Source organism: Homo sapiens, chromosome 2 (assembly GCF_000001405.40).
Source record: "Homo sapiens chromosome 2, GRCh38.p14 Primary Assembly".
NCBI lineage: Eukaryota > Metazoa > Chordata > Mammalia > Primates > Hominidae > Homo > Homo sapiens.
The window spans coordinates 101114794-101139838 of record NC_000002.12 but is presented as its reverse complement, the minus strand read 5'-3'; the positions used below and the strand labels follow the sequence as shown (position 1 = coordinate 101139838).

Below are 25045 nucleotides of genomic sequence, written 5' to 3'. Positions count from 1 at the left end.
AAGAAGGAAATGAATTTGGGTTGGAACATCAGGGAGCTGTCTCTGAGGAGCTGTGATCTCCACTGAGACCTGCATGGTGTGCAGGAGGGTGGTAGCTGGTGAGAAGTTGGGAAAAGAGCCGTCTGAGCAGAGGAAATGGCATGTGCAAAGGTCCTGAGGCCTCCGAGAGTCTGTTTTGGACAAGTTAAGTGTGGGATACCTGGGACTTGTCTAGAAAGGCCTGTAGAGGAGGAAAGGGCAGAGGGGACTGAGGCATGGGCAAGGGGCAGGAGGGCCTCAGCAGTGTATTTTCCCTGAAGCCAGGAGGAAGTGTATGTGAGAAGGAGGGAGGGGTCTGCTCTGCATTGCAGTATGGAAAAGGCTAGGAAGACCTTGGAGACCTCAGCCACAGCAGCTTGGATGCAGGCAGATGTGGCGTGGGAGCGGGCTGGAGACTGGAGGGTGGCGAGGAAGTAGGGATGGCGGATGAAGGCAGTTCTCTCAAGGTGGGATGTGGTGGTGTTTTTTTTTTTGTTGTTTTTTGTTTTTGGATACATATTTATTATTTGTCAATGAATGGAGTCTCTGTTGAATGCTGGATCCACAAGTGTAGATTTGGGGCCAAGCTGCTGGGTCTTGAGACAGGCTGGGGAAAGATTTGAATAGGTCGAGGGAGTAGTTCACCTCATCCAAGTGAGGGAACCTCAGGAGCCAGTTCCGGAGGAATGTTGTTTTAGAAATGGGGTTAGTACTCACTACTGAAAAAAAAAATGCATGGAAGAATCTGTCTCTGACTACCTGTGACATATTAAGAAATGTATTTCTTGTTTGGCCTCTGCTTCTTGTTCCTGGCACAGAGCTCCTAATCCTTTGGAATTTCCTGGGTGATGGGAGCATCTTTTGTTCTAATGAGGTGACTCTTGGTGGGCTCCTGGGTGGAGACTGGTCACCAGCAAGAACAGATTTGAAGCTTGGGGATTTCAGCCCCACCTCCATTCTCTGGGAAGGAGCAGGGGCTGGAGATTAATGATCAGTCATGCTCAGGTGGTGGTGGTGAAGCCACCTTAAGAATCCCTGGACTCTAGGGTTTGGGGAGCTCCAGGGCTGTTGAACACATGGAGGGTAGCCCACCCAGAGAGGGCACAGAAGTGCCACGTCCCCTCCAGTACACCCCGCCCTGTGTATCTCTTCATCTGGCTGTCTTCTGTATCCTTGATCATATTCTTTATTACATAATAAGCTGGGAAATGTGTTTCTGTGAGCCATCCCGGCAAATTATCAAACCTGAGGATGGGGTTATGGGAACCCCTGACTTGTAGCTGGTTGGTCGGAAGTGCAGGTGACAGCCTTGGGCTTGTGACTGGCGTCTGAAATGGGGCCAGTCTCGTGGGACCGAGCCTTTAACCTGCACTAATTCCAGGTAGTTAGTGTCAGAATTGAATGGAATTGTAGAACACCCAGGTGGCATCTGGAGAGTTGGAGAATTGGTTGGTATGGGAAAACTCCCCATACATTTAGTGTCACAAATGTGAATAGTAAAGGATAATGTTTTTTTCTTTTACCACCAAAACAATTAACTAATTTAAATGGAACCTGATGTGGTTTGGATCTGTGTCCCCACCCAATTTTCATGTCAAATTGTAATCCCCAGTGTTGGAGGTGGGGCCTGGTGGGAGGTGATTGGATCATGAGGGTGGATTTCCCCTTTGGTGCTGTTCTCGTGATAGAGATCTCCCAAGGTCTGGTTCTTTAAAAGTGTGTAGCACCTTCCCCCTCTCCCTCTTCCTCCTGCTCCGGTCGTATGAAGATGCCTGCTCTCACTTTGCCTTCTGCCATGAGTGAAAACTCCCTGAGGCCTCTCCAGCCATGCTTCCTGTACAGCCTGTGGAACTGTGAGCCAATTAAACCTCTTTTCTTTAGAAATTACCCAGTCGCGGGTATTTCTTTATAGCAGTAAGAGAATGAACTCATACAGAACCCAAGTCTGTTGGCTTAGCACTATACAGTGATGTTTTCACCTGGCAAAAAGAGTTCTTTGAGGAGACTGTGGCAGCTTAAAAATGTAATGTTACTGGTTTGGCATTTCATGTCACATGGAGCCTGCATGTAGGACACCCCTGTACTGTCTTGTCTGGGGTAAATGCTGGTAGGAAACTAACTCCACTCAGTATGTTTCTCAGCTTAGATGTATTTAGTATTTTGTTAGAAATAATACTGTCAGGATTCAAAAAATATCTATTTCCAGAAGGACTATACAGATTAAAAGTCATTTCAAATCCCAGCACTTTGGGAGGCCAAGGTGGGCGGATCACATGGTCAGGAGATCGAGACCATCCTAGCTAACACGGTGAAACCCCGTCTCTACTAAAAATACAAAAAATTTGCCGGGTGTGGTGGCGGGCGCCTGTAGTCCCAGCTACTCGAGAGGCTGAGGCAGGAGAATGGCGTGAACCCGGGAGGCGGAGCTTGCAGTGAGCCGAGATCATGCCACTGCACTCCAGCTTGGGCGAGAGTGCGAGACTCCGTCTCAAAAACGTGGTGGCTCACGCCTGTAATCCCAGCACTTTGGGAGGCTGGGGTGGGCGGATCATTGGAGGTCAGGAGTTCGACTCCAGCCTGACCAACATGGTGAAACTCCGTCTCTACTAAAAATACAAAAATTAGCTGGGCGTGGTGGCACACGCCTGTAATCCCAGCTACTTGGGAGGCTGAGGCAGTAGAATCACTTGAACCTGGGAGGCGGAGGTTGTGATGAGCCGAGATCGCGCCATTGCACTCCAGCCTGGGCGACAAAAGCCAAACTGTCTCAAAAAAAAAAAAAAAAAAAAGAATTAGCCTAGTGATGAATGGTTTAGAAAGCTTCTGGGCTTTCTTGCTTGAAAAACAGTGTTTGCTTGACAGAAACACTTTAAAAAGGCGTAAAGAGCATTGCGCAGCCTCAGATGGAGATGTAGGTATTTTACCCACCATGGGAGCATAGAGAGTTAAATGGGTTCTGAGTATCTGTTATATTGCTGTTTTGTTATTATAATTAAAAATAAATGTGAAACGTAAGCAAGGCATTAAGATTGCTTACAGAATGTATAGCTCGTGATCATTCATCATCAAGGATTCAGCCATGGCAAGGGTTTGGCTGGAGTGAAGGGTCAGACTAGATCTTCGTAAATCCAGTGTCCCAAAATTGTATGTATGCACAAGTGTGCATACTCGTGTGTTTTTATTTTAACCTGTAGCTTCCTTTAGATTTTTGAGGTAAAGGAAGGCTTTGATGCTCACTTAGGCTCCAAATTGGACCATGTTTAATCCCAGTATTATGTAGCTGTCTGTTAATGTGGGGATTCGGTTCTCTTTCAGTCCTTTAGAATACCTGAGGCTGGGAATTTATAAAGAAAAGAATTTTATTTGGCTTGCAGGTCTGCAGGCTGTACAAGAATCATGGTCCTGGCGTCTGCTTCTGGTGAGGCCTCAGGAAGCTTCCACTCATGATGGAAGGTGAAGGGGAGCCCCTGTGTACACAGATCACATGGTGAGGGTAGGGGTAGGTGCCAGGTTCGTTTTAACAATCAGTTCTTATAGGCACTAATAGAGTGAAAACTCACTCATTGCCACCAAGACAGCATCAAGCCTTTTATGAAGGATCCACCCCCATGGCCCAAACACCTCCCACCAGGCTCCACCTCTAACACTGGAGATCAAATTTCAACGTGAGGCCAGGCCAGTGGCTCATGCTGTAATCTCAGCACTTTGGGAGGCAGAGGCTGCCGGATCACTTGAGTCCAGGAGACCAGCCTAGGCAACATGGTGAAACCCTTTCTCTACAAAAAAATACCAAAATTAGCCAGGCGTGGTGGTGCCTGCCTGTAGTCCCAGCTACTTGGGAGGCTGAGGTTGGAGGATCACTTGAGCCCTGAGGCAGAGGTTGCAGTGAACCAAGCCAGGGTGACAGTAAGATCCTTCTCAAAAACACAAAAACCAAAAAACCAAATTTCAACCTGAGACCTGTATGAGACAAACATCCAAACAAAATCAGGTTCCAAAATCAACATGAAGAACAAACATTGCTTGAGGGAAAAACGACTGCAGAAATCAGCAAGCTACCTGTCTTTTTGCAATCTGCTCATGTTATCAGGAGGGCCTGGGAAGTGAGGACCCCTAGAGACCTGGGGAATTCCAGCCCTTCCATGAACTCAGGCCAGGGCCTGTGCTCCCTGATGGTGGGCAGTTGGTTTGAATTGTTGTTCCCTGCTCTTTGTTTGGACAGTGCATATCGCTGAATGTGATGTATTCACGTGACCTACTCCATAACGCCAACTGCGCCTCCACGTAGAACATTTGAGGTGGCTTCACAGTCAGGTGAGGCCAGCAGTGATCATGCCTACATTTGGTATATTACATGGGGGATTGCTGTTAGGTGAGGTTGGTGGTGGCATTTTTTTTTTTTTATTAGTTGAGCTACAATTCTGTTTTCTGCTGTTCAGATGGCTTATAACAAAAAGGTCTGTACTAAGAAGATGTTGTTTCGTCTTTCAGCCTTTTGATTGTCTTCATTTAGCCAAATAAAACATTTAGATTTGAGGAGAAAAGGGGTTGGAGAGCCTCTTGTAGAACTGGAAGGTTCTCTTTGACAAGACGTGTATCTCACTGTAAAAACGGCTTTTTCTTTTTTCTTGTTTCTTTTTTCTTTTTTTGAGACGGAGTCTCGCTCTGTCGCCCAGGCTGGAGTGCAGTGGCGCGATCTCGGCTCACTGCAAGCTCTGCCTCCCGGGTTCATGCCATTCTCCTGCCTCAGCCTCCTGAGTAGCTGGGACTGCAGGCGCCCGCCACCACACCCGGCTAATTATTGTATTTTTAGTAGAGACGGGGTTTCACTATGTTGGCCAGGCTAGTCTTGAACTCCTGACCTTGTGATCCACCTGCCTCGGCCTCCCAAAGTGCTGGGATTACAGGCGTGAGCCACCGTGCCCGGCCAAATATGGCTTTTTCTGTTTGGTTTTAACTTCATGTGCAACCTGGAAAGCCAGATTTCAACATTCTGTATTAATACCAAAAGTTAAGTTATGTTGTGGATTGAATGTGTCCCCCTGCCCCCTAAATTACTGTGTTGAAGCTGTGACCTCCAGTGTGACTATATTTGAAGATAGTGCCTGCAGGGAGGTAACTAAGGTTAACTGAAGCCATAAGGGCAGGGCCCTGATCCTATAGGGCTGTTCCCTTTATAAGAAGAGGGACAGTCACCAGAGAGCTTACCCTCTCTGCCATGTGAGGACACTATGAGAAGGTGGCTGTCTGCAAGCCAAGAAGAGAACCCTCACTAGACATCACATTTGCTAGCCCCTTGATTTTGGACTTCCAGCCTCCAGAGCCATGAGAAAATAAACTTCTGCAGTTTAAGCCACTCAGTCTGTGGTATTTTGTTATAGCAGCCTGAGCTAAGACAAGTTAGAATCATATAATGTAATGTAAATTTGTTTACTTTCTTTGAATTAAAATTTATAAAGACTCTAACTTAGGCAAAGCCAGAGATCTGATTAGTATTGATGGTGCCTGAACATACTAAGACCCAAGATGAGACAGAGGCCCCAGAGGTTAGCATCCATTTATACCAGAAAGATCATTAGAAAGTCTGTGTGTGTGTGTGTGTGTGTGTGTGTGTGTGTGTGTGAGAGAGAGAGAGAGAGAGAGAGAGAGAAAGAGAAGAGAGGGAGTGCTAAAGTGTGAATATTTATGTCCCCCCTCCAAATTCATTGTTGAAATTCTAACCCTGATAGGGTTTGGCTCTGTGTCCCCACACAAATCTCATCTCAAATTGTAATCCCCACATGTCGAGGGAGGGAGGTGATTGGATCATGGGGGTGGTTTTCCTCCATGCTGTTCTCATGATAGTGAGTGAGTTCTCACAAGATCTGATGGTTTTATAAGTGTTAGATAGTTCCACTTTCACACACTCTCTCTGTCCTGCTGACTTGTGAAGGCGGTGCCTGCTTCCCCTTAGCCTTCCACCCTGATTGTAAGTTTCCTGCAGCCTCCCCAGCCATGCAGAGCTGTGAGTCAGTTAAACCTCTATCCTTTATTAATTGCCCAGTCTCAGGGAAGTTCTTTATATTAATAGCAGAGTGAAAATGGACTAATACAACCCCCTAAGGTCATAGTACTGGAGGTAGATTCCTTGGAGGTGATTAGGTTATGAGGGTGGAGCCTTCCTGATTGTGATTAGTGCTCTTAGAAAGAGACCCCAGAGAGCTCCCTCTCCCTACCCACCTTGTGAAGACACAGCATGAAGCCACCATCTGTGAACCCCCCTCACCAGACACCAAATCTGCTGGTGCCTTGATCTTGGATTTCCCAGCTTCCAGAACCATGGGAAGTAAATTTATGTTATTTATAAGCTATCCAGGTAGTGGAGATTTTGTTATAGCATCCGAAATGGACTAAGACAGGGAGAGAGGGAAGATGGAAAGAGAGGAGAGAGGGAGAGGGGAAGGGAGCGAATATCTCAGAGAGAGACTTGAATGGCAAATGGACTCACACAAAAAGAGATCATGATCCCAGAAGCATTTGGCAGTGCTCATTCTAATATGCTATGTGATTAATATTTCTATATGCATTTCTGAAAAGTTTTATTTAGAATCAGAATTGTCTAAGTTAGATAATTTTCTTATTGCTTACATGTTCAGAGAGATATACTTTTTTTTTTTTTTTTGAGATGGAGTCTCGCACTGTCACCCAGGCTGGAGTGCAGTGGCTCGATCTCAGCTCACTGCAACCTCCGCCTCCCGGGTTCAAGCAATTCTCCTGCCTCAGCCTCCCGAGTAGCTGGGATTACAGGCGCCCGCCACCACGCCTAGCTAATTTGAGATGTACATTTTAAGTAAAACCAAACTTAAAAATTTATAGAAACATCTATAAATTTGAATAAGATAATCGTATTGCAGATATAAGAATATTTTTATTGCAAAGTAAAAACAGAAACAGTGGCTCACGCCTGTAATCCCAGCACTTTGGGAGGCTGAGGCAGGAGGATCACTTGGGCCCAGGAGTTCAAGACCAGCCTGGGCAACATAGGGAGACTCCATCTCTACAAAAAATTGAAAAACAAAAAATAAGTTAGCCGGGCATGGTGGCATATCCCTGTAGTCCTAGTTACTTGGGAGGCCAAGGCGGGAAGATTGCTTGAGCCGAAGAGGTCGAGGCTGCAGTGAACTGTGTTTATGCCACTGCACTCCAGCCTGGGCTGCAGAGTGAGATCCTATCTCAAACAAAACAACTTGATCAAAATTGTCAAACACAAAACAGGGATGGGATGTGGATTTATGTCTTCAAAAATGTCAGTCATAGAAAGGCTGTGTTTGGAAAAGTTCTTTATTAAAGGAGACTGAAAAGACATGGTAGCTCAATGTAATACGAACCACAGAATACATACTGTACTGAAGGGAGCAGGTGCTATAAAAGACATCATGGGGTCACCTGGCAGCTTGGGGATATGAAGGGTAGATACAGATATACACGTGTAAAATTCACTGGAGTTGATGACTGCTCTTTTGTGTAGGACAGTGTCCCCATTCATAGGAATAGGCTTCCCCTCAAATGATTTAGAAAAGGTGTGTGTGTGTGTAATTATATCATATATCATATTGTATCATTATATTTAGAGGAAGAAATAGAAAAAGAAAAATAGCAAATGATATAGTGAATGGGATAAGCTGCTCACAGTAGATGAATCTGAGTCTTGGCAGAGAGGGGATGAGTGTTCTCTGTCTTATTTTAGTTCTAGTTTTCCTTTAAGTTTGACTTTATTTCCAAATAAAAAGTGAAATGAACATGCAAATCCAGTTTATGTGTGAATCTGGAAGCACCCGTCTACTTTGATTGAAGTATTTTTAGTCTGTGTTAACAAGATGTAAAATATACCTATAACAATTTTTAAAAAACCTTTCATTTAGGAAATTTCTGCAGAAAAATAACTTTATTGTAAGTCTGAAACTAACCACTCCCAGCTTTTCTTGTTGAACAACTATATTTGGAACCTTGTTTTTTTTCTTTTTTTTGAGACAGAGTCTCGCTCTGTCGCCCAGGCTGGAGTGTCGTGTCACGATCTTGGCTCGCCGCAAGCTCCTCCTCCTGGGTTCACGTCATTCTCCTGCCTTAGCCTCCCGAGTAGCTGGGACTACAGGCGCCCACCACCACGCCCAGCTAATTTTTTCGTATTTTTAGTAGAGACAGGGTTTCACCATATTAGCCAGGATGGTCTCAATCTCCTGACCTCGTGATCCAACTGCCTCAGCCTCCCAAAGTGCTGGGATTATAGGTGTGAGCCACTGTACCCGGCCAGAACCTTGTTTTTTTTTTGAAACGGAGTTTCGCTCTTGTTGCCCAGGCTGAACTGCAATAGCGCACTGGGCTCACTGCAACCTCTGCCTCCCGGGTTCAAGCGATTCTCCTGCCTCAGCCTCCCGAGTAGCTGGGATTACAGGCGCACGTCACCACCATGCCCGGCTAATGTTGTATTTTTAGTAGAGATGGGTTTTCTCCCTGTTGGTCAGGCTGGTCACAAACTCCCGGCCTCAGGTGATCCACCCGCCTTTGCCTCCCAAAGTGCTGGGATTACAGGCGTGAGCCACCGTGCCCGGCCTGGAACCTTGTTTTTAAAGAGGTAAGGGAGCCGGGCTCAGTGACTTGTGCCCATAGTCTCAGCTACTTGGGAGGCTGAGGTGGGAGGATGACTTAAGCCAAGGAGTTCAAGACCAGCCTGGACAACATAGCAAGACCTCATCTTTCTAAAAATAAATAAATAAATAAATAAAATAAAGAGGTGAGGTTTCCCAGGGGTCCTGGGTGCCACACCCAGCAGGGCAGGTTGTGTATTATTTGATGTGTATGAGGGTATCTTATCTAATCCCTTCCTAAAATTAAATGACTTCAACACAGGAGTTTTTGATATAATGTATATGCATTATTGCAGTGTTAGGTTGGGGCTTGATTGTGGTCAATAACAGTTAGATATTAAGAGAATGAAGACCTTGGAAAAGAAGGCCATTCAACAGGTATTTACTGTATGCTGCTAGGAGCCTGGCTCTTTCCCAGGCACCTGGATGTAGCAGTGAACAAAACTAGATCCTATCCTCATGGAGCTTGAAGATTACTCTAGTGATTAATCTGGGGTTGGAATTCTCAAATATGCACTGCCAATCCTTCTAAATATGTCAGCCCAGGCATCATTTTAAACTTATTTCATTAAAACAGTTAGTGCTGTTTTCACTGAACCACAAAAAATTGACTTTTTGTAGCTCTTGCCCTTGAAAATGGAAATATCTAGTCAAGGGGGTTAGGGCCTTTGAGCCCTGTCTTTTAGGTTCCTGCCTGTGTTGGCTGTGTCATCTGCAAGCTCTGTGACAGGATCAAAAGCACTGGGGCGAGGAACTTCTGCCCCTGGAAGTCTTTCTGGCACCTTCTCACTAGGGTCCGACTTGGTGAGGGGAAGCACAGCTTAGCTTAGCCCTCTGCGACCCTGCAGTGGGCCTCAGGGCGCGGGCACCTGTCTTGCAGGCCAGCCCTGCTAAGCCACTGAAGTGTCAGCACAGCTGGCCCGATCGACGCTTCCAGGCCTCCTCGGCTCTCACTCCCTTTTGGGATGCAGCTCAGGAGCCTTCCGGAGGTGACTGGAATGAAGTGGACTCATTTTCTTAGTTAAAAATAACCCCAGCAGCTGTGGGTTCAAGTACCCCAATGGCAGGACCGGCCCTCGACTCATTGTTGCGACTCCTGGTCATTGTGGCTCTGAGGGTCATGGCTGGATGAACGTCGTTGCTGGGATCTTGGAGCCCACCAGCTCGTACCCCTTTTTACAGATGAACAAGCTGGGGCCCAGGAAAAGGTCCACTGACTGATCTGAGGGAGGATGCTGTTACTTGATTTGGCTCGGGCTAGCCCTTTCTTTTTCTTTTCTTTTTTTTTTTTTGAGACAGAGTCTCGCCCTGTTGCCCAGGCTGGAGTGCAGTGGCACTATCTCGGCTCACTGCTAGCTCCGCCTCCTGGGTTCACACCATTCTCCTGCCTCAGTCTCCTGAGTAGCTGGGACTACAGGCGCCTGCTGCCACGCCCAGCTAATTGTTTGTATTTTTAGTAGAGATGGGGTTTCACCGTGTTAGCCAGGATGGTCTCGATCTCCTGACCTCGTGATCTGCCTGCCTCGGCCTCCCAAAGTGCTGGGATTACAGGTGTGAGCCGCCACGGACTTGGGCTAGCCCTTTCTAGCAAATCTAGAAACCCCTGAAATGTGGGTGTTCCTGGCTGCCTTCTTCCAGCCCACCTTGGCTCCTCCAGATCTCTCCAGCTACTTTTGTTCTGGGCTGGCGACTGTTGAAATGCTTGTTTGTTTGTTTAATGGTTTAAGTAACAGATATTTAAAAAAACTGTGGTCAGGGCCAGATGCCATGGCTCATGCCTGTAATCCCAACACTGGGAGGCCGAGGCAGGCAGATTACCCGAGTTCAGGAGTTCGAGAACAGCCTGGCCAACATGGCGAAACCCCGTGTCTACTAAAAATACAAAAACATTAGCCAGGTGTGGTGGCGTGTGCCTGGAGTCCCAGCTACTCGGGAGGCTGAGGCATGAGAATTTCCTGAATCTGGGCAGCAGAGGTTGGCAGTGAGCCAAAATCGTGCCACTGTACTCCAACCTGGGCGACAGAACAAGACTCTATCTCAATTTAAAAAAAACAAAACAAAATAAAACACACACACAAAAACTGTGGTAAATATACATAACATAAAATTTACCATCTTAACCATTTTTAAGTGGCATTACATACATTCGCAGTGTTGTGCACCCATCACTACCATCTAATTTCCAGAACTTTTTCATCTTCTCTAAATGAAAGTCAGAGCCCATTAAATAAATAACTCCCCCTGCTCCCTCCCTCTATGGTAACCACTGCTCCCTCCCTCTATGGTAACCATCATTCTACTTTCTGTCTCTGAATTTGACTATCCCAAGTTCCTCATATAATTAGAATCACACGGTATTTGTCTTTCTGTGTCTGGCTTATTTCACTTAGCATAATGTTATCAAGGTTCTCAAGATTCTCAGGGAATATTATTTGAGGCTAATGATATTCTATTGTATGTATATGCCACATTTAAAGAATTCATTCATTTATTCATTGAGGGACCCCTGGGTTACTTCCGCCTTTTGGCTATTGCAAATAATGCTGCCGTGAAAACAGGTGTACAAATATTTGTTTGAGATCCTGCTCTCACTTTTGGGTATAGACCCAGAAGTGGAATTGCTGGATCACATGGTGATTCTGTGCTTAAGTTTTTTGAGACAATCCTAGACTTTTGCACCTGATTCTTTGTCTCTCCTGGCCTCTGAGGACTTGACTGCCCAGCTAGCATTGTACTGAATTTGCTGGGGCTGAGGCCCCAGTCATGGGCCCCTGGCTTCCTGAGTACCCTAAGCCTGGCCCTGAGACCCTCATTACTCTTCCCAGGAAGCTTGAGTGGAGAATTGAAGAGAGCTGAAGCTTGTTTAGAGGTGCATTGCAATTGACTTAAAAACAAAGAATGAGAATTAGAATTTGATTTGGGGCATTTTCAGGTTTACTGTTCAGTCATTTGTTTTGGATTTCATGTAGTTTTGTTTTTCATAACTAAGATATGGAGTGGAATGCTTAATCTGTATTTGGTAGTTTTTCTAACATGTTCTCAGTTACATCTATACCTAAGGTTATTGGGGGGAAAGAATAGGACTATTAGGAGGTGGAAAAGAAAAGAAATCTTGTCCTTATTAACCTGAATGACCTTGGACCTTGGTTTCTTATTTTGTGAAAGGGAGTTAATAATGTAACTAATAAGAATGTTATGAGTAATTGGGGAAAAAATGGATCTGAAGTATCTGGGACAGGCTTAACAGCCAGTGTGCTTAGTTAACATCAGCCTGTCCTTACCTGTTTGTGGTTCTGGATTCATTAAGTAAGCTGTGTGTGTGGTCCTAGGCTCCCGAAGGGTAGAGCAGCAACAATGGGAAGAGCTCCGAGCAGGACTCAGGAGCTGTGACCCTCACATCCTCCACCAACTTCCTCCAGGCTCAGGTTCCTCACCTATCCAATGAGGAGGTTGGACTCATCTCTCTGATTTCTCATGGTGCTAAAAGGTCAACAAGGCTGGGTGTGGTTGCTAAGTTTGTAATCCCAGCACTTTGGGAGGCTGAGGTGGGAGGATCGGTTGAGCCCAAGAGTTTGAGTCTGTAGTGAGCTGTGATTGTTCTGCTGCACTCCAGCCTGGGCAACAGAGTGATACCCTGTCTCAAAAAAAGTGTTAGGTTTGTGGGTAGCCTTCTTTTGATTGCAGAGTGCTTTCTTTTCTCCATACTGACGTCTGTTCTCTACACGTGGTAGACCCATCTCCTCAGTGGTGTATGAAGTGAGTTGAGAGATTGAAAAGCCCAGACTGGAGTTTTTGTCATTCTAAGATCTTTAGGGCCATATGGGACCTGAATTTCCTTCTTTCTCTTTTTTTTTTTTTTCTGAGATGAAGTCTTGCACTGTTGCCCGGGCTGGAGTGCAGTGGTGGGATCTTGGCTCACTGCAACCTCTGCCTCCCAGGTTCAAGCCATTCTCCTGCCTCAGCCTCCCAAGTAGCTGGGATTACAGGCACCTGCCACCACGCCTGGCTAATTTTTTGAATTTTTAATAGAGATGGGGTTTCACTGTGTTGGCCAGGCTGGTCTCGAATGCCTGACCTCGTGATCCACCTGCCTCGGCCTCCCAGAGTGCTGGAATTACAGGTATCAACCACTGCGCCTGGCCAGGGGCCTCAATTTCTTAACAGCTTGTTCTCTGGCTCTAGCCCAGAATTCCAATACCTATGAGGAGTCAACCCCCAAGCCCTTGTGACCTGGGGCCATCCACATCTGCGAAGGAGATGAGAAGGTGGAAGGGGCACTGGATGTGATTTTTGATTGCTCAGAAATAGAATTAAACTGTCTTCAAAGAATTGGACAGAGAAACTCTCTTGCTCCACTCACTTCAAGACTTGGCCGTTTTCTACAATTGACCTTGTCTGTCTTTATTACTTATTTACCAATCTTCATTTTCTCCAAGGAAGAACAGCCAGCTTAGCTTGTAATGCTTCCTTCTTCCAGTCTTCCTATTTTTGAGAAACATTTATTGCTTATTAGCATTGTAGTAATAATACCATACGTTTTCATATTGAATTACATTTTTCATAGGGCTTTCACTACTTTACCTCTCTCTGTATATCTATCAAGATTTATCTAGGCCACCTGGTTACCCCCATTTTGTAAATTGAGATCCAGTGTGGTCATCTATTTGCCAGGCTGTTGGTAACAGGGCCCTGGTATCTGTCTTTTCTTTCTGTGATGCTGGTTAGTCACCAGTGCTCACCCAAGATTTGCTTATGGGCAGGACATATGTACCCAGCAGAGAAGCTTGTGGTAGAGAATTCTTACCTTCAAGACATTTGCTATGGTTCGGATATGGTTTGTGTGGCCCCACCAAGTTTCATGTTGGAATTTGATGCCCACCTAGTATTGGAGGTACGGCCTGGTGGGAGCTGTTTGGGTTGTGGGAGTGGATCGTTTATGAATGTCTTGGTGCCATACTCATGAGAGTGAATTCTTGCAAGAACTGGTTGTTGAAAAGAGCCTGGCACCATCTCCTCTCTCTCTTGCCTTTCTCTCCTACCATGTGCTCTCTGTATATGCCAGCTCCCTTCACCTTCCACCACGAGTGGAAGCTTCCTGAGGCTTCATCAGACACAGATACTGGTGCCATGCTTCTTGTACAGCCTGCAGACCTGTGAGCCAAATAAAGCTCTTTTCCTTATAAGTGACTCAGCCTCAGGTATTCCTTTATAGCAACACAAATGGACTAAGACAGCATTATAACCTAATAGGGACTCAAGGGGAAGGAGAATGGAGTTCAAGTGTGTTACTCTCTGGTAATGCTAATAATTAAAATGTCTGGTGGATGGAGGAAGAGCTAAGAACTCAAATGAAGTTCGGGAATGTTTCTGAATTTAATGCGTGGATATTGGTTACCCTGCCTCACTCTGGCATTAAGGAAAGGTAATGGTTTTTAAACAATACATTTAGATATCCTTAAGTCTCTGGGCTCTACATTGTATTGCTGCACCATAAAGGTGCGTCTATACCTCATCTCTGCAAGCTATTTCACACTATTGTTAAGTGTAAAAAGACAGGAAACATTGCCTAACATGCGTTATTTCTGATCTTGAATGCTTGTGGTTTGTGGCTTAGTTTTTCAGAGGATCATTGATAGTAAGGGCACGGGGCTGACCCAGGACTTTCTTTGGAACAGAAATAAGGATTTTTAAAATAAGTGACATTCTAATAGATTACACTATACTGTGCTTTGTGGAAATAAAATTTCTGGAAGGAGGCCTGTGTGTGTCTGTGTGTGAGTGAATGTCTGTGTGTATAATTTTCTCAGATTCCTGACTTTGCAAGTGTTTCATAAATCTGTAAGTATTTTATTCATATCTGCCTGCACCAGACCTGGAAAATGTGATTTTTTTTTTAAACTATTTTTCTTGTGTACTCTTAGAAGGGAGTGGTTATGAATAGCAGGTTCAGGAATGTGGGATTGTGTTGTCAGAATCTGAACCCTGGCCCCGGGTGCCCCCTGGGCTCTGTAGGTGCTGCTTTGCCAGATTGCTCTTGTTGGCTGGAAGTGATGTTGGCCGGAGGAGTGGCCGGAGGCTGCTTGATTGTTTGGATGATGAATGCATTTGTCATGGGAGGCTGCTTGTTTTTCAAACAGGCATAAAAATATCATTTGCTCAGAGGAAATGGATTCACACACAAATGTCACGAACCTTGGTGATCTTAGATTGTTTATCCGTGGGATAGTTTGGTTATTGAAGAGCTTATTTCTAAGGCACATGGGAAGGTAAGGGCTCTGACTCACTTGGTGGGTACTTGGCCTTCTGTCCTGTTGTTGTAGGAAGCCCTATCACGTCTCCAGATGCTTCGAAAGAGGATTCCTGGCCACCCAGCCTCTTCATCACTCTCTGATTGTAGTATTTTTTCCACAGCTTCCTAAGTAATGAACTGCAAGTACTTCTGGCAGCTGATAGACCTGGGCTGTGTACCAACCCAGGGACCATGTCCCTAAGCAAGTTGGGGAAAAAGTCACATTTGATCTGGTCCCTGAGTTCAGGGTTGGCTTATGGTGGGCTCTGCTGCCATGTGCAGAAGTTCTCTTCTCTTGGGGGATAACCCTAACTGACCTCATCATTTCAGCCGAGGGTTTACTTAGATTCCTTGCCACATCTCCTCAGCCAGCGGAGTGTACTGTATTAACAGCAGGTTTTTTTCCTTAAATTGGAAGAGTTGTTTTTTAGTGTTAGTATTTTTGGATTTGGAGACTAGAAATGTGGTAGTTTTCATCTTGGTTAGCCTGCAAGCAACCCTTATAGCGCTCTCCAGAAATTATTTTTAGGAAATTTGAAGCATTTATTATAGAGCCTTGAGATAGGAAATGAGCTTGTCTTAGTCACCCACTGCTTAGATGCCCTATGTAATCATGACAATTCTTTTATACATGTGTGTACAGAAAGAGAGAAGGTTTGAATTCTTTTTCTGTTGGAGATTGTAATGCATCCTCCACCTCCTCTCTCCTGCTGTTTCTGGTGGCCTCTGATCTTGTGTTTGTGTGGTGTCGGAGATCCAGTGGCAGTGGGAGGGAAGTGCTCACTGGTTGACAGAGGGTTTATGGCTTCAGTTCTTACTCCAGGAGCCTCTTGCTGAATCTAAACAACCAGCTGTCTATCGAAGTAATGAATCCAGGGACAGGACAACAGGGGCTGGAGATTGAGTCCAAGCACCAAGTCCATGGCCGATGTTTTAATCACTCCTGCCTACATAATAAAACTCTGGTGAGTTTCATTACTCTAAACACCGAGGTTTGGTGTAGCTTCCTGGTTGGTGAGTATGCTGATGTGCCAGGAGGGGGATGCCCCCTGACCCACAGGGAGAGGCCATGGAAGCTCCCTGTCAGGGGCTCTGCAGGACCTTCCTTTATGTGTTTTCTCCATGTGGCTGTTCCTTTATCATAAGACTGTAGCTGTAAGTATAGCCCCAACAAAACAAAGCGAACAACTGACTCCTCTCTTTTTGTAAGGTAGACCTATATCTGTGACAGTATACTGGTCCTTAAGGTGATTTGTTCCAGTGTGTGGGAAGCATGTTCTGTCTTTGGAGTAGTGGTGAGACTCAATCACAGGGTAAAGCAGCCCAAGAACACAGCTTCCACAGATTGTCACGGGGGCAGGTGAGATCAGGTACATGACTTAGCCGTGCACACTGGTTTGGAGCGTGCTTGAGAAGTTGCATCTTGGGGCAGTGGCTCCACAATATTTTTGTGGTTGTGGCCTACTCTGAATACTGCTAGAACGGTCGCCAAGCAAATTAGCCACAGTGCTAATTTGCACTATGTACAACCGCTGAATACTGCTGGAAGTCCTAGCCAGAGCAATCGGGCAAGAGAAAGAAATAAAAGGCATCCACATTGGGAAGGAGCAAGTCCAATTATCCCTGTTGGCTGACAATATGATCTTCTATCTAGAAAAGCCTAAAGACTCCCCAGGCTGGTCACGATGACTGTTGCCCAGGCTGGAGTGCAGTGGTGACCATAGCTCACTGTGGACTGGAATTCCTAGGCTCAAGTGATCTTCCTGCTTCAGCCTCCTGAGTGGCTTGGACTACAAGGTGCGCACCACCATGCCCAGTTTCCTGCTCTGTTTTAGGTATATATTCCTAAGACTTGTACCTGTGTGTTTTGGTAGACACAGGTGCTGGCTTGACACTGTGCTGTGCCTTTCGCCTTTGATTGGCAGCTGCTTACACACCCACATCACATCGCTGTACCACATGCGGGGCCTGATGTTTTTCTCCAACAAGTACCACCATACAAGTCTATATTCCCGGCTGTGGCAAAGCACATTTTACACCTTGATCAGTGTTTGACACCAATGTGAAGGGCTCGCGGTGGTGCTGCTCTCAACTGCACACTGTTGAAAAACGCAAGCGGATCTGTCTTCAAAATTTGGGGGGACTGTTTTGTTTAAAAGTTTATTTTAAATCCTTTAATTGAAAACTCAAATAGTCTATGAGTTTTCAATTCATTTCGGTTTCATGTACAGTATTACATTTATGCAACCAAGCTATCAAAAGGACTGGCTGTCCTTGGGAATGAAACGTAACAAAATCGTCAATAGAGTATTATTGGAAAAGATTGTTTTCAGTCATGAACTAGCTATTTAAATGAGAAAACAAATGTAATGATGCTTTCTGTCATGATTTTATAAATAAATGTCAATTGTAGGAAATTGGAAAAATAAATGAAAAAGAAAAACTCATAATCCCACAGTTAACCTTTTTGTATTGATTTCCTGGCATTATCCATGCTTTTTTTTTTTTTTTTTTTTTTTTTTTTGAAATGGAGTCTTGGCCGGGCGCGGTGGCTCACGCCTGTAATCCTAGCACTTTGGGAGGCCAGGGCAGGTGGATCATGAGGTCAGGAGTTCGAGACCAGCCTGGCCAATATGGTGAAACCCCGTTTCTACTAAAAAATACAAAAATTAGCTGGGTATGGTGGCGCACACCTGTAGTCCCAGCTGCTTGGGAGGCTGAGGCAGGAGAATCACTTGAACCCAGGAGGCAGAGGTTGTAGTGAGCTGAGATTGTGCCATTGTACTCCAGCCTCGCGGCAGAGCAAGACTCCATCTCAGAAAAAAAAAAAAAAAAAGAAAAAGAAATGGAGTCTCACTGCGATGCCCAGGCTGGAGTGCAGTGGCGTGATCTCAGCTCACTGCAACCTCTGCCTACCGGGTTCAAGCAGTTCTCTTGCCCCAGCCTTCCAAGTAGCTGGGACTATAAGCGCCTGCCGCCATGCCTGGCTGATTTTTGTATTTTTAGTAGAGACAGGGTTTCACCATATTGGCCAGGCTGGTCTCGAACTCTTGACCTCAGGTGATCCGCCTGCCTTGGCCTCCCAAAGTGCTGGGATTACAGGCGTGAGCCACTGTGCCTGGCCGCATTTCGTTTATATAATTGAACTCTGTATATCAGTCCTGTGTCTTTTCACTTACTGGAATAATAGCATTGTGCTATGGTCTAAATGTTTGTGTCCCTCCCAAATCCATATGTTGAAACAGAAACACCAGCAGGATGGTATTAGCAGCTGGGGCCTTTTCTTGAAGGTGGAGCACTTAAGATGGGACTAGCGCCCTTACAAATGAGACCTCAGAGAGCTCTCTCGCTCCTTTCACCGTCCTGGGACACAGCTCTAGAAGGCACCATCTTTAAATCAGGAAATGGGCTGTCACCAGACACTGAATCTGGGATGTGAGTGCCAGTCCCTCTCCCACTCTTTGCTGTGTGACCTTGTAGCAGCTACAGAGCCTCCCTGAGCCCCGGGGATAGGACTGTGTCCGCCTCTAGTGTGGCAAGGCTTAAACAGAGGTGATGAGTGGGTGGAGCTTGTCGCAGTCCCTGGCACGTGTCATATGTCTGATATGTGTTAGTTAATGATGGGAGGGACTGGAATGACACGTTCAAACAGGCACAGCTGATAACAACCTTATAAAGGATGGAATAGAATATTACTTTATATTTTTGTCAACAAAGTCCTTTGGAATTCTTTTTCTCTTATTTTTTTCTTTTCCTCAAAAGAGCGCCTTAGTGATATGAGATACTTTAATATATTTTCTTAGAAAAGAGGGAGGTTTGCCCGTTCATAGGATCTGTTAGGTTAGGCTCTTCAACGTTATCATGCTACTTGTGAGTTCAGTATTTCTAGGCAGCTGAATTTAATAGGGCTAAGGAGTTTTTAAAAAAATGAACGTAAAGATACCCTGTAATGATTGCTACACATCCAGCTGTAGTGTAGGGATCAGCTCTCAGCTTTCAGGTGTCATTGTCCCACTCAGGCATGCTTCTGGGCGTGGGAGTGTGCATGTGTACATGTGCTGTGCCCTCTGAGTACTTTCTAATGGCCTTATGTCCCTAGCCCGTGGTTGTGAGCCAGCTCTTGTTAAGGTCAGACATGAGTCACTGCCCATGGGGCACTTGGCTCTGTTCAGAGCTTCCTGGGACTTTGTGTCCTACCCAGTGTTTCTGCCACGAGGTTGAACCTGAGATCGACATCTTTGCATGGGCCTTGTATCCTTTTGCATTTAGCTTTTTGATGAATGACACTGACAGGTAGTTTCTTCCTAAACGTAGGCTGGCTTTTTCCTGCCTGTACTTTATGTTTTCCTAGGCAGATTTTAGCTGGCAGATGCATCAGATAACAAAGGTCCCTGCTTCGTTGTGCAAATAATAGGATAGACACAGTGGTTCATACCCTTGGCCACACAGGTGAGAGCCTGGAGAACTGTCAGTAGCCCAGGCCGGACCACAGACCACTAGCATCTCTAACATTGGGATTTCAAAAGCTCCCCAGGGGATTCCAGAGCTCAGGCAGGATTGAGAACCAGTGGAGCAACCCACAGCTCAGCCTAAGATGTTTTGGGCACCAGGAAGGGTGGGCACCGGGAAGGCCGGGCACATGAGAGATGGTTTGAGTTGGGAGCAGCGGCCAAAGAGGCAGAAGGATCAGGATGACTCTCCAGTGTGTTGTGGGCAAGATGTGAAGGGGGTCTTCAAGCTGCTCTCTGTCCTGGTCTGAGGAGCTGGCTTTTGGATGATGGAGCGTCCTTGTTGCCACCCCCACCTCGGTGTTGGTGGTGGTGGAGTCAGGGACCCTCTCTGCACTGTGGGGATGGACATGGAGTGAAGGCATGAGGGAGATCTAGCTCTCTTGGGCTCCTGGCTCACTTGGGTTATTTTGCCTGTTCTGTGGAGGGAGCATCTTCAAATTCATCACCTTCATCAGCAGGAGAGACTATTATCTTCATGTTGCAGATAAGAGAGCTAAGGCTGGAATATTTGATTGGTGTCATTTCAAGGACCTGCTGTAGAAGAACTGTCTGGATGGAGGCTAGATGCAATGGATAAAGAAGAAAGGGGCAGCAGGTGCCTTCTGCTTCTCTGTAATTTTCAAGGTGAAAGTAACTACAGAAATGAAATTGCAGCTTAAGGGCAGACATAGTGGCAGAGTCAAGAGCCTTAGGGAAGAGGGAACAAGAGAAGATCCTAGAACAGTGGTCCTGGTCTTGGCTGCACAGTGAGTCATGGAGGATCCTGTGACAATGCCCGTGCCCAGGCAGCACCCCAAACCAATGACATCAGACTCTGGAGTGGGGCCCAGGCCGGCTCTGCACTGCAGCCAAAGTTGAGAACCCCTGCTCTAGAAGGAAATCCAGGGAGTTAATGCAACCACATCTAGAAGGAAAGGAGTCAGAGGGGTTCTCATTTCTTCTGAACCTGGTGGGAGGGGAAGCAAAGGAGTAGAGATGGGACACTTAGGGTGGAAGAGGAGGCACAGGCTCCTGAGTCAGAAGGGGGTGGGTACCAGGTAAAGTGTGGAGCCATCCGTAAGTAGGGTGGTTTGTATCTCACTGATACTGTTCCCCTGTTGGCTGGAGGGGGCTTCATGTTGGGGAGACATGGAGGGCCAGGGGGACTTAGTTGAAGGTTTATGTGGAATAGCTACTGGCAAACATGCATTGCCCATGTTTCTCCATATGGGAACTGCTTGAGGAGCCTTAAAAATTCTGAGGCCTTCTTGATTTCATTCTCAGCTAGATTGTTATTGGTGTGTAGAAATGCTATGATTTTTGTATGACGACTTTGTAGCCTGAAACTTTACTGAATTCATTTATCAAATCTGAGAGTCTTTCGTGGAGTCTTTTTTTTGGGGGGGCAGAGACAGGGTCTCAGTCTGTCATCCAGGCTGGAGTGTAGTGGTGTCGTCACAGCTCTGTGCAACCTCTGCCTCCAGGCTTAAGTGACCCTCCCACCTCAGCCTCCCAAGTAGCTGGGACCATAGGCTGTGTGCCACCACACCCAGCTAATTTTTGTATTTTCTTCGTAGAGATGGGGTTTCAACATGTTGCCCGGTCTGGTCTCGAACTCGTGGGGACTCAAGCCAATCTGATGGCCTTGGCCTCCCAGAGTGCTGGGATTACAGGCGTGAGCCACTGTGCCCAGCCTGGTGGAGTTTTTTTTTTTTTTTTTTGAGATGGAGTTTCATTCTGTCGCCCAGACTGGAGTGCAGTGGCGCCATCTCGGCTCACTGCAAGCTCCGCCTCCCGGGTTCACGCCATTCTCCTGCCTCAACCTCCCGAGTAGTTGGGACTACAGGTGCCTGCCACCAAGCCTGGCTAATTTTTTTGTATTTTTAGTAGAGACAGGGTTTCACCGTGTTAGCCAGGATGGTCTCGATCTCCTGACCTTGTGATCCACCCGCCTTGGCCTCCCAAAGTGCTGGGATTACAGGCATGAGCCACTGTGCCCGGCTACCTGGTGGAGTCTTTAGGCTTTTCTAGATAGAAGATCATATTGTCAGCCAACAGGGATAATTGGACTTGCTCTTTTCCAATGTGGATTCCTTTTATTCCTTTCTCTTGCCCAGTGGCTCTGGCTAGGACTTCCAGCACTACGTACAATTGCATTTGGACCCCCAAAATTTATACAAATGAAAAAAAAAGTACTGAAAGCCAGGCCCCAACCTGGCCCATTAGAACCCAGGGCTCTGGAGGTAGGACCTAGGGTACATGGCGGTCTGGCTGTGTTGCCAAGCAGTCCCCTCCCCATGTTGAAGGGAGCTCAGTCCTCACTCATTCGTGACTTTATGGTTGATGATGGATGTGATAAGAGTGGCATTTGCTATTTCAGGAACTTCAGCAAACCAGCATTGTGTTCATGTCAAGGAGGAGGAAGTTACTGAGAGATGACTTTCCAGTGTCCCTGCAAGAGGCCGTCCTCCCACCCCCTTCTGTATGGAGAAATTAGAAGGAGGTCACTCTTTTTAAAGGTTAAAAAAAAAAAAAAAAAAAAAGGCCGGGTGCGGTGGCTCACGCCTGTAATCCCAGCACTTTGGGAGGCCGAGCCGGGCGGATCACAAGATCAGGAGATCGAGACCATCCTGCCTGACAGAGTGAAACCCCATCTCTACTAGAAATACAAAAAAAATTAGCCAGGCATGGTGGCGGGCGCCTGTAGTCCCAGCTACTCAGGAGGCTGAGGCAGGAGAATGGCGTGAACCCGGGAGGCAGAGCTTGCAGTGAACCGAGATGGCGCCACTGCACTCCAGCCTGGGCGACAGAGCGAGACTCTGTCTCAAAAAAAAAAAAAAAAAAAAAAAGTTCTGCCTCCTAACCAACTGTCATAGGCCTTGAACATATGAGTGCCTCCCCGCTGAATCTGCCCTTTACTGGACTTAGATTATTGACAGGTCAGGGGAATAGGTAAAGTAAATAGCAACGTTAATGACTAGTAAATAGAAATTGGTTACGAAATCCACTTTGGGTCCAGAAAGATTGGCTGGGTGAGATGGTCAGTCTATTGTGGGAGGCTTTGGAGAGCCATCTCTTTGTATATTTAAAGCTCTCTCACTCTGTGCGTGGAAAAGAGCCAGGGCCTGAGTTGGGCATTGTCTCAGTTTCTAAGGGCTGATCCCCAACTAGGTGGCTGAAAACAAAACCACAGTTCTGTTGTCCAGAAGTCCAAAGTCAGCTTGTCCACCATGCTCCCTCTGAAACCTGTAGGGGAGTTCTTCCTTGCCTTGCCTGGGGTTCTGGGGGTTGGCTGGCATGCTTTGGGGTTCCTCACAGCTGCATGGCTCAATCCCTGCCTCAGTCATCACACAGTGCTCTCCCTGTGTGTCTGTGTCTTCAGTGGCCGTCTGCTCGTGATGACACCAATCACATTGGATTAAGGGCCTACCACCTCCAGTATGACCTCATCTTAAATAACATTAAATTTCACTTCTCGGCTGGGCATGGTGGTGCACACCTGTAATCTCAGCACTTTGGGAGGCTGAGGCGGCAGATCACTTGAGACCAGGAGTTCGAGACCAGCCTAGCCAACATGGCAAAACTCCATCTCTACTAAAAATACAAAAATTAGTTGGGCATGGTGGTGTGCGCCTGTAATCTCAGCCCCTGGGGAGGCTGAGGCAGGGAGAATTGCTTGAGCCCAGGAGGCAGAAGCTGCAGTGAGCTGAGATTGCACCACTGCACTCTAGCCTGGGGGACAGAGGGAGACTCTGTCTCAAAAAAAAAAAAAATTCACTACTTTTAATTAATATTAACTGACATCACACCTTCAATGTGGCCCTGTTTTAAAATAAGGTAACATTCTGAGGTATGGGGGATTAGGATTTCAATGTATCTTTTTTGGAAGGGGCGAGTTGGCCCCTTCCAAAATTCAGCCTGTAAGAGGCAAGTGGGCCAGGGACTTTGCACCTGCTTGTTTAATCTCCACGCAGACCAGTGCGGTGGGGATGATCCCCGTTGGACACATGAGGAAGCTGAGCCTGAGAGAGGTGAGGCTACTTACCCAAGCCACACAGCTGATACAGAGCAGAGTGAGGATTGTGACTCTAGAGCAGTGTACAACTTCTGTAGGTTAGACCAAACATAGGTTCTTTTGTGACTTCCTTGGACTGGAGTCCATATGTCTTTTGGGCATTCTCAGGGCCCTTGTGGACATTATGCATCTGTGGGCAACCAGTCAAATACTAAGATAGTACTTCCCTGCCTCCTCACCCATTACCAGAAAGAAACTTGGAAACATGAAGTTGGTTTGATTTGTTGAGGGGGTAAGATTGGTGGAGATTTTTCTTATATTTATTTTTGTTTCCGTTCTTATAGCTATAACAACTTAAGCATATTTTAAATGGAATTAAGAGGAGGTTTTTAGAGCTTTGGTAATAATCAGCACCCTGCTGAATGTTGCTGGTCTCCTGGAATCCTTTTATGTTGTCAGCCTTACCTGATGAAGACTTGCCCCATTTCTCCTGGTGGCTGGCCTTGCTGGCGTGTGCGTAACAGATCCAGGTCATGGGATGTCTGGGGCCCTGGTGGTGATGGTCCGGTTCCATCACTACCACTGCCAGAGCATTTTGCAAACAAGTACTGTGTACTGGTTTGTCTCAAGGATCCAGAATCTTTTTTTTTTTGAAACAAGGTCTTGCTTTGTCACCCAGGCTGGGGTGCAGTGGTACAATCTCGGCTCATTGCACCCTCTGCCTCCTGGGTTCAAGCAGTTCTTGTGCCTTGGCCTCCCAAGTAGCTGGAATTATAGGCATGGACCACCAACCCCAGCTAATTTCTACATTTTTAGTAGAGATGGGGTTTCACTGTGTTGGCCAGGCTGGTCTTGAACTCCTGGCCTCAAGTGATCCACCTGCCTTGGCCTCCCAAAGTGCTGGGATTACAGGCATGAGCCACTGCTCCTGGCAGATTCAGAATCTTGAAGGCTGCAACTTCCCCTAAATGGAAGGCATTGAACAATCAGATTTCAAGATCAGAATTCCCAGTAGAAAACTCCTGCTAATAAAGAGACGTCCATGAGTCTGAGGAAGTAAATTGCTCCTGCTAAGTCTCCTCCACTCCATCTTATTAAATTTTAATTTCATTTGATTTTTTTCTAATTACTGGCTCCACGTCTGTTCTTCCCACAGGTTGTCTGTTTGTGGATGTTGGCGGAGATGCATCTTGGGTCAAAAGGACAGATTTTCTAAAGATAGATTGGGTGACCGCTGTCTGTCATAATGTGTGATAGCCTTAGAGAGAGAATGAGCTGTCATTTTATCCTTACTCCCTTTCTTCCTTGTCTCTATCTTGGACACTGTTGGGATCCGCACGTGACTGAGCCCCGATCCAAAGCTTTCTTGGTAGCTGGAGAAAGCGACAGGTTCTGTGAAACACACCAGTTGGCAGTGTTTTACAGACTAGCTCTATGTATTGTCACTTTATGGGGAAGTCAGACCAGGGACCATGGGGCCAACTGCACTTCCTTATTTCCGTGGGGTGGCACCCCTGTTCTGGGTGTTTGCCTTCCTTACCTCTAGCTTGCCCTACTCTCCTACTTTCTCTGCTTTTTAGAATTAATGGTTAAATTCCCATATGAATGA

At 46.3% G+C, this 25045-nt stretch overlaps 1 protein-coding gene across 3 annotated transcripts in view, besides 1 other annotated feature; it reads left to right on the top strand.

The window, feature by feature from the left end:
- The window catches only part of TBC1D8 (TBC1 domain family member 8), a 144155-nt gene that overhangs the window by 11544 nt on the left and 107566 nt on the right, over positions 1-25045 (top strand). The window lies entirely within an intron of this gene.
- Positions 14177-15376: an enhancer, noted in NCBI's record as "P300/CBP strongly-dependent group 1 enhancer chr2:101740925-101742124 (GRCh37/hg19 assembly coordinates)". NCBI's record gives its function as "activates an origin of replication core promoter dependent on BRD2, BRD4, P300/CBP, MED14 and CDK7 cofactors, with strong dependence on P300/CBP, by STARR-seq in HCT116 cells {active_cell/tissue: HCT116}" and the evidence as "EXISTENCE:reporter gene assay evidence [ECO:0000049][PMID:35650434]".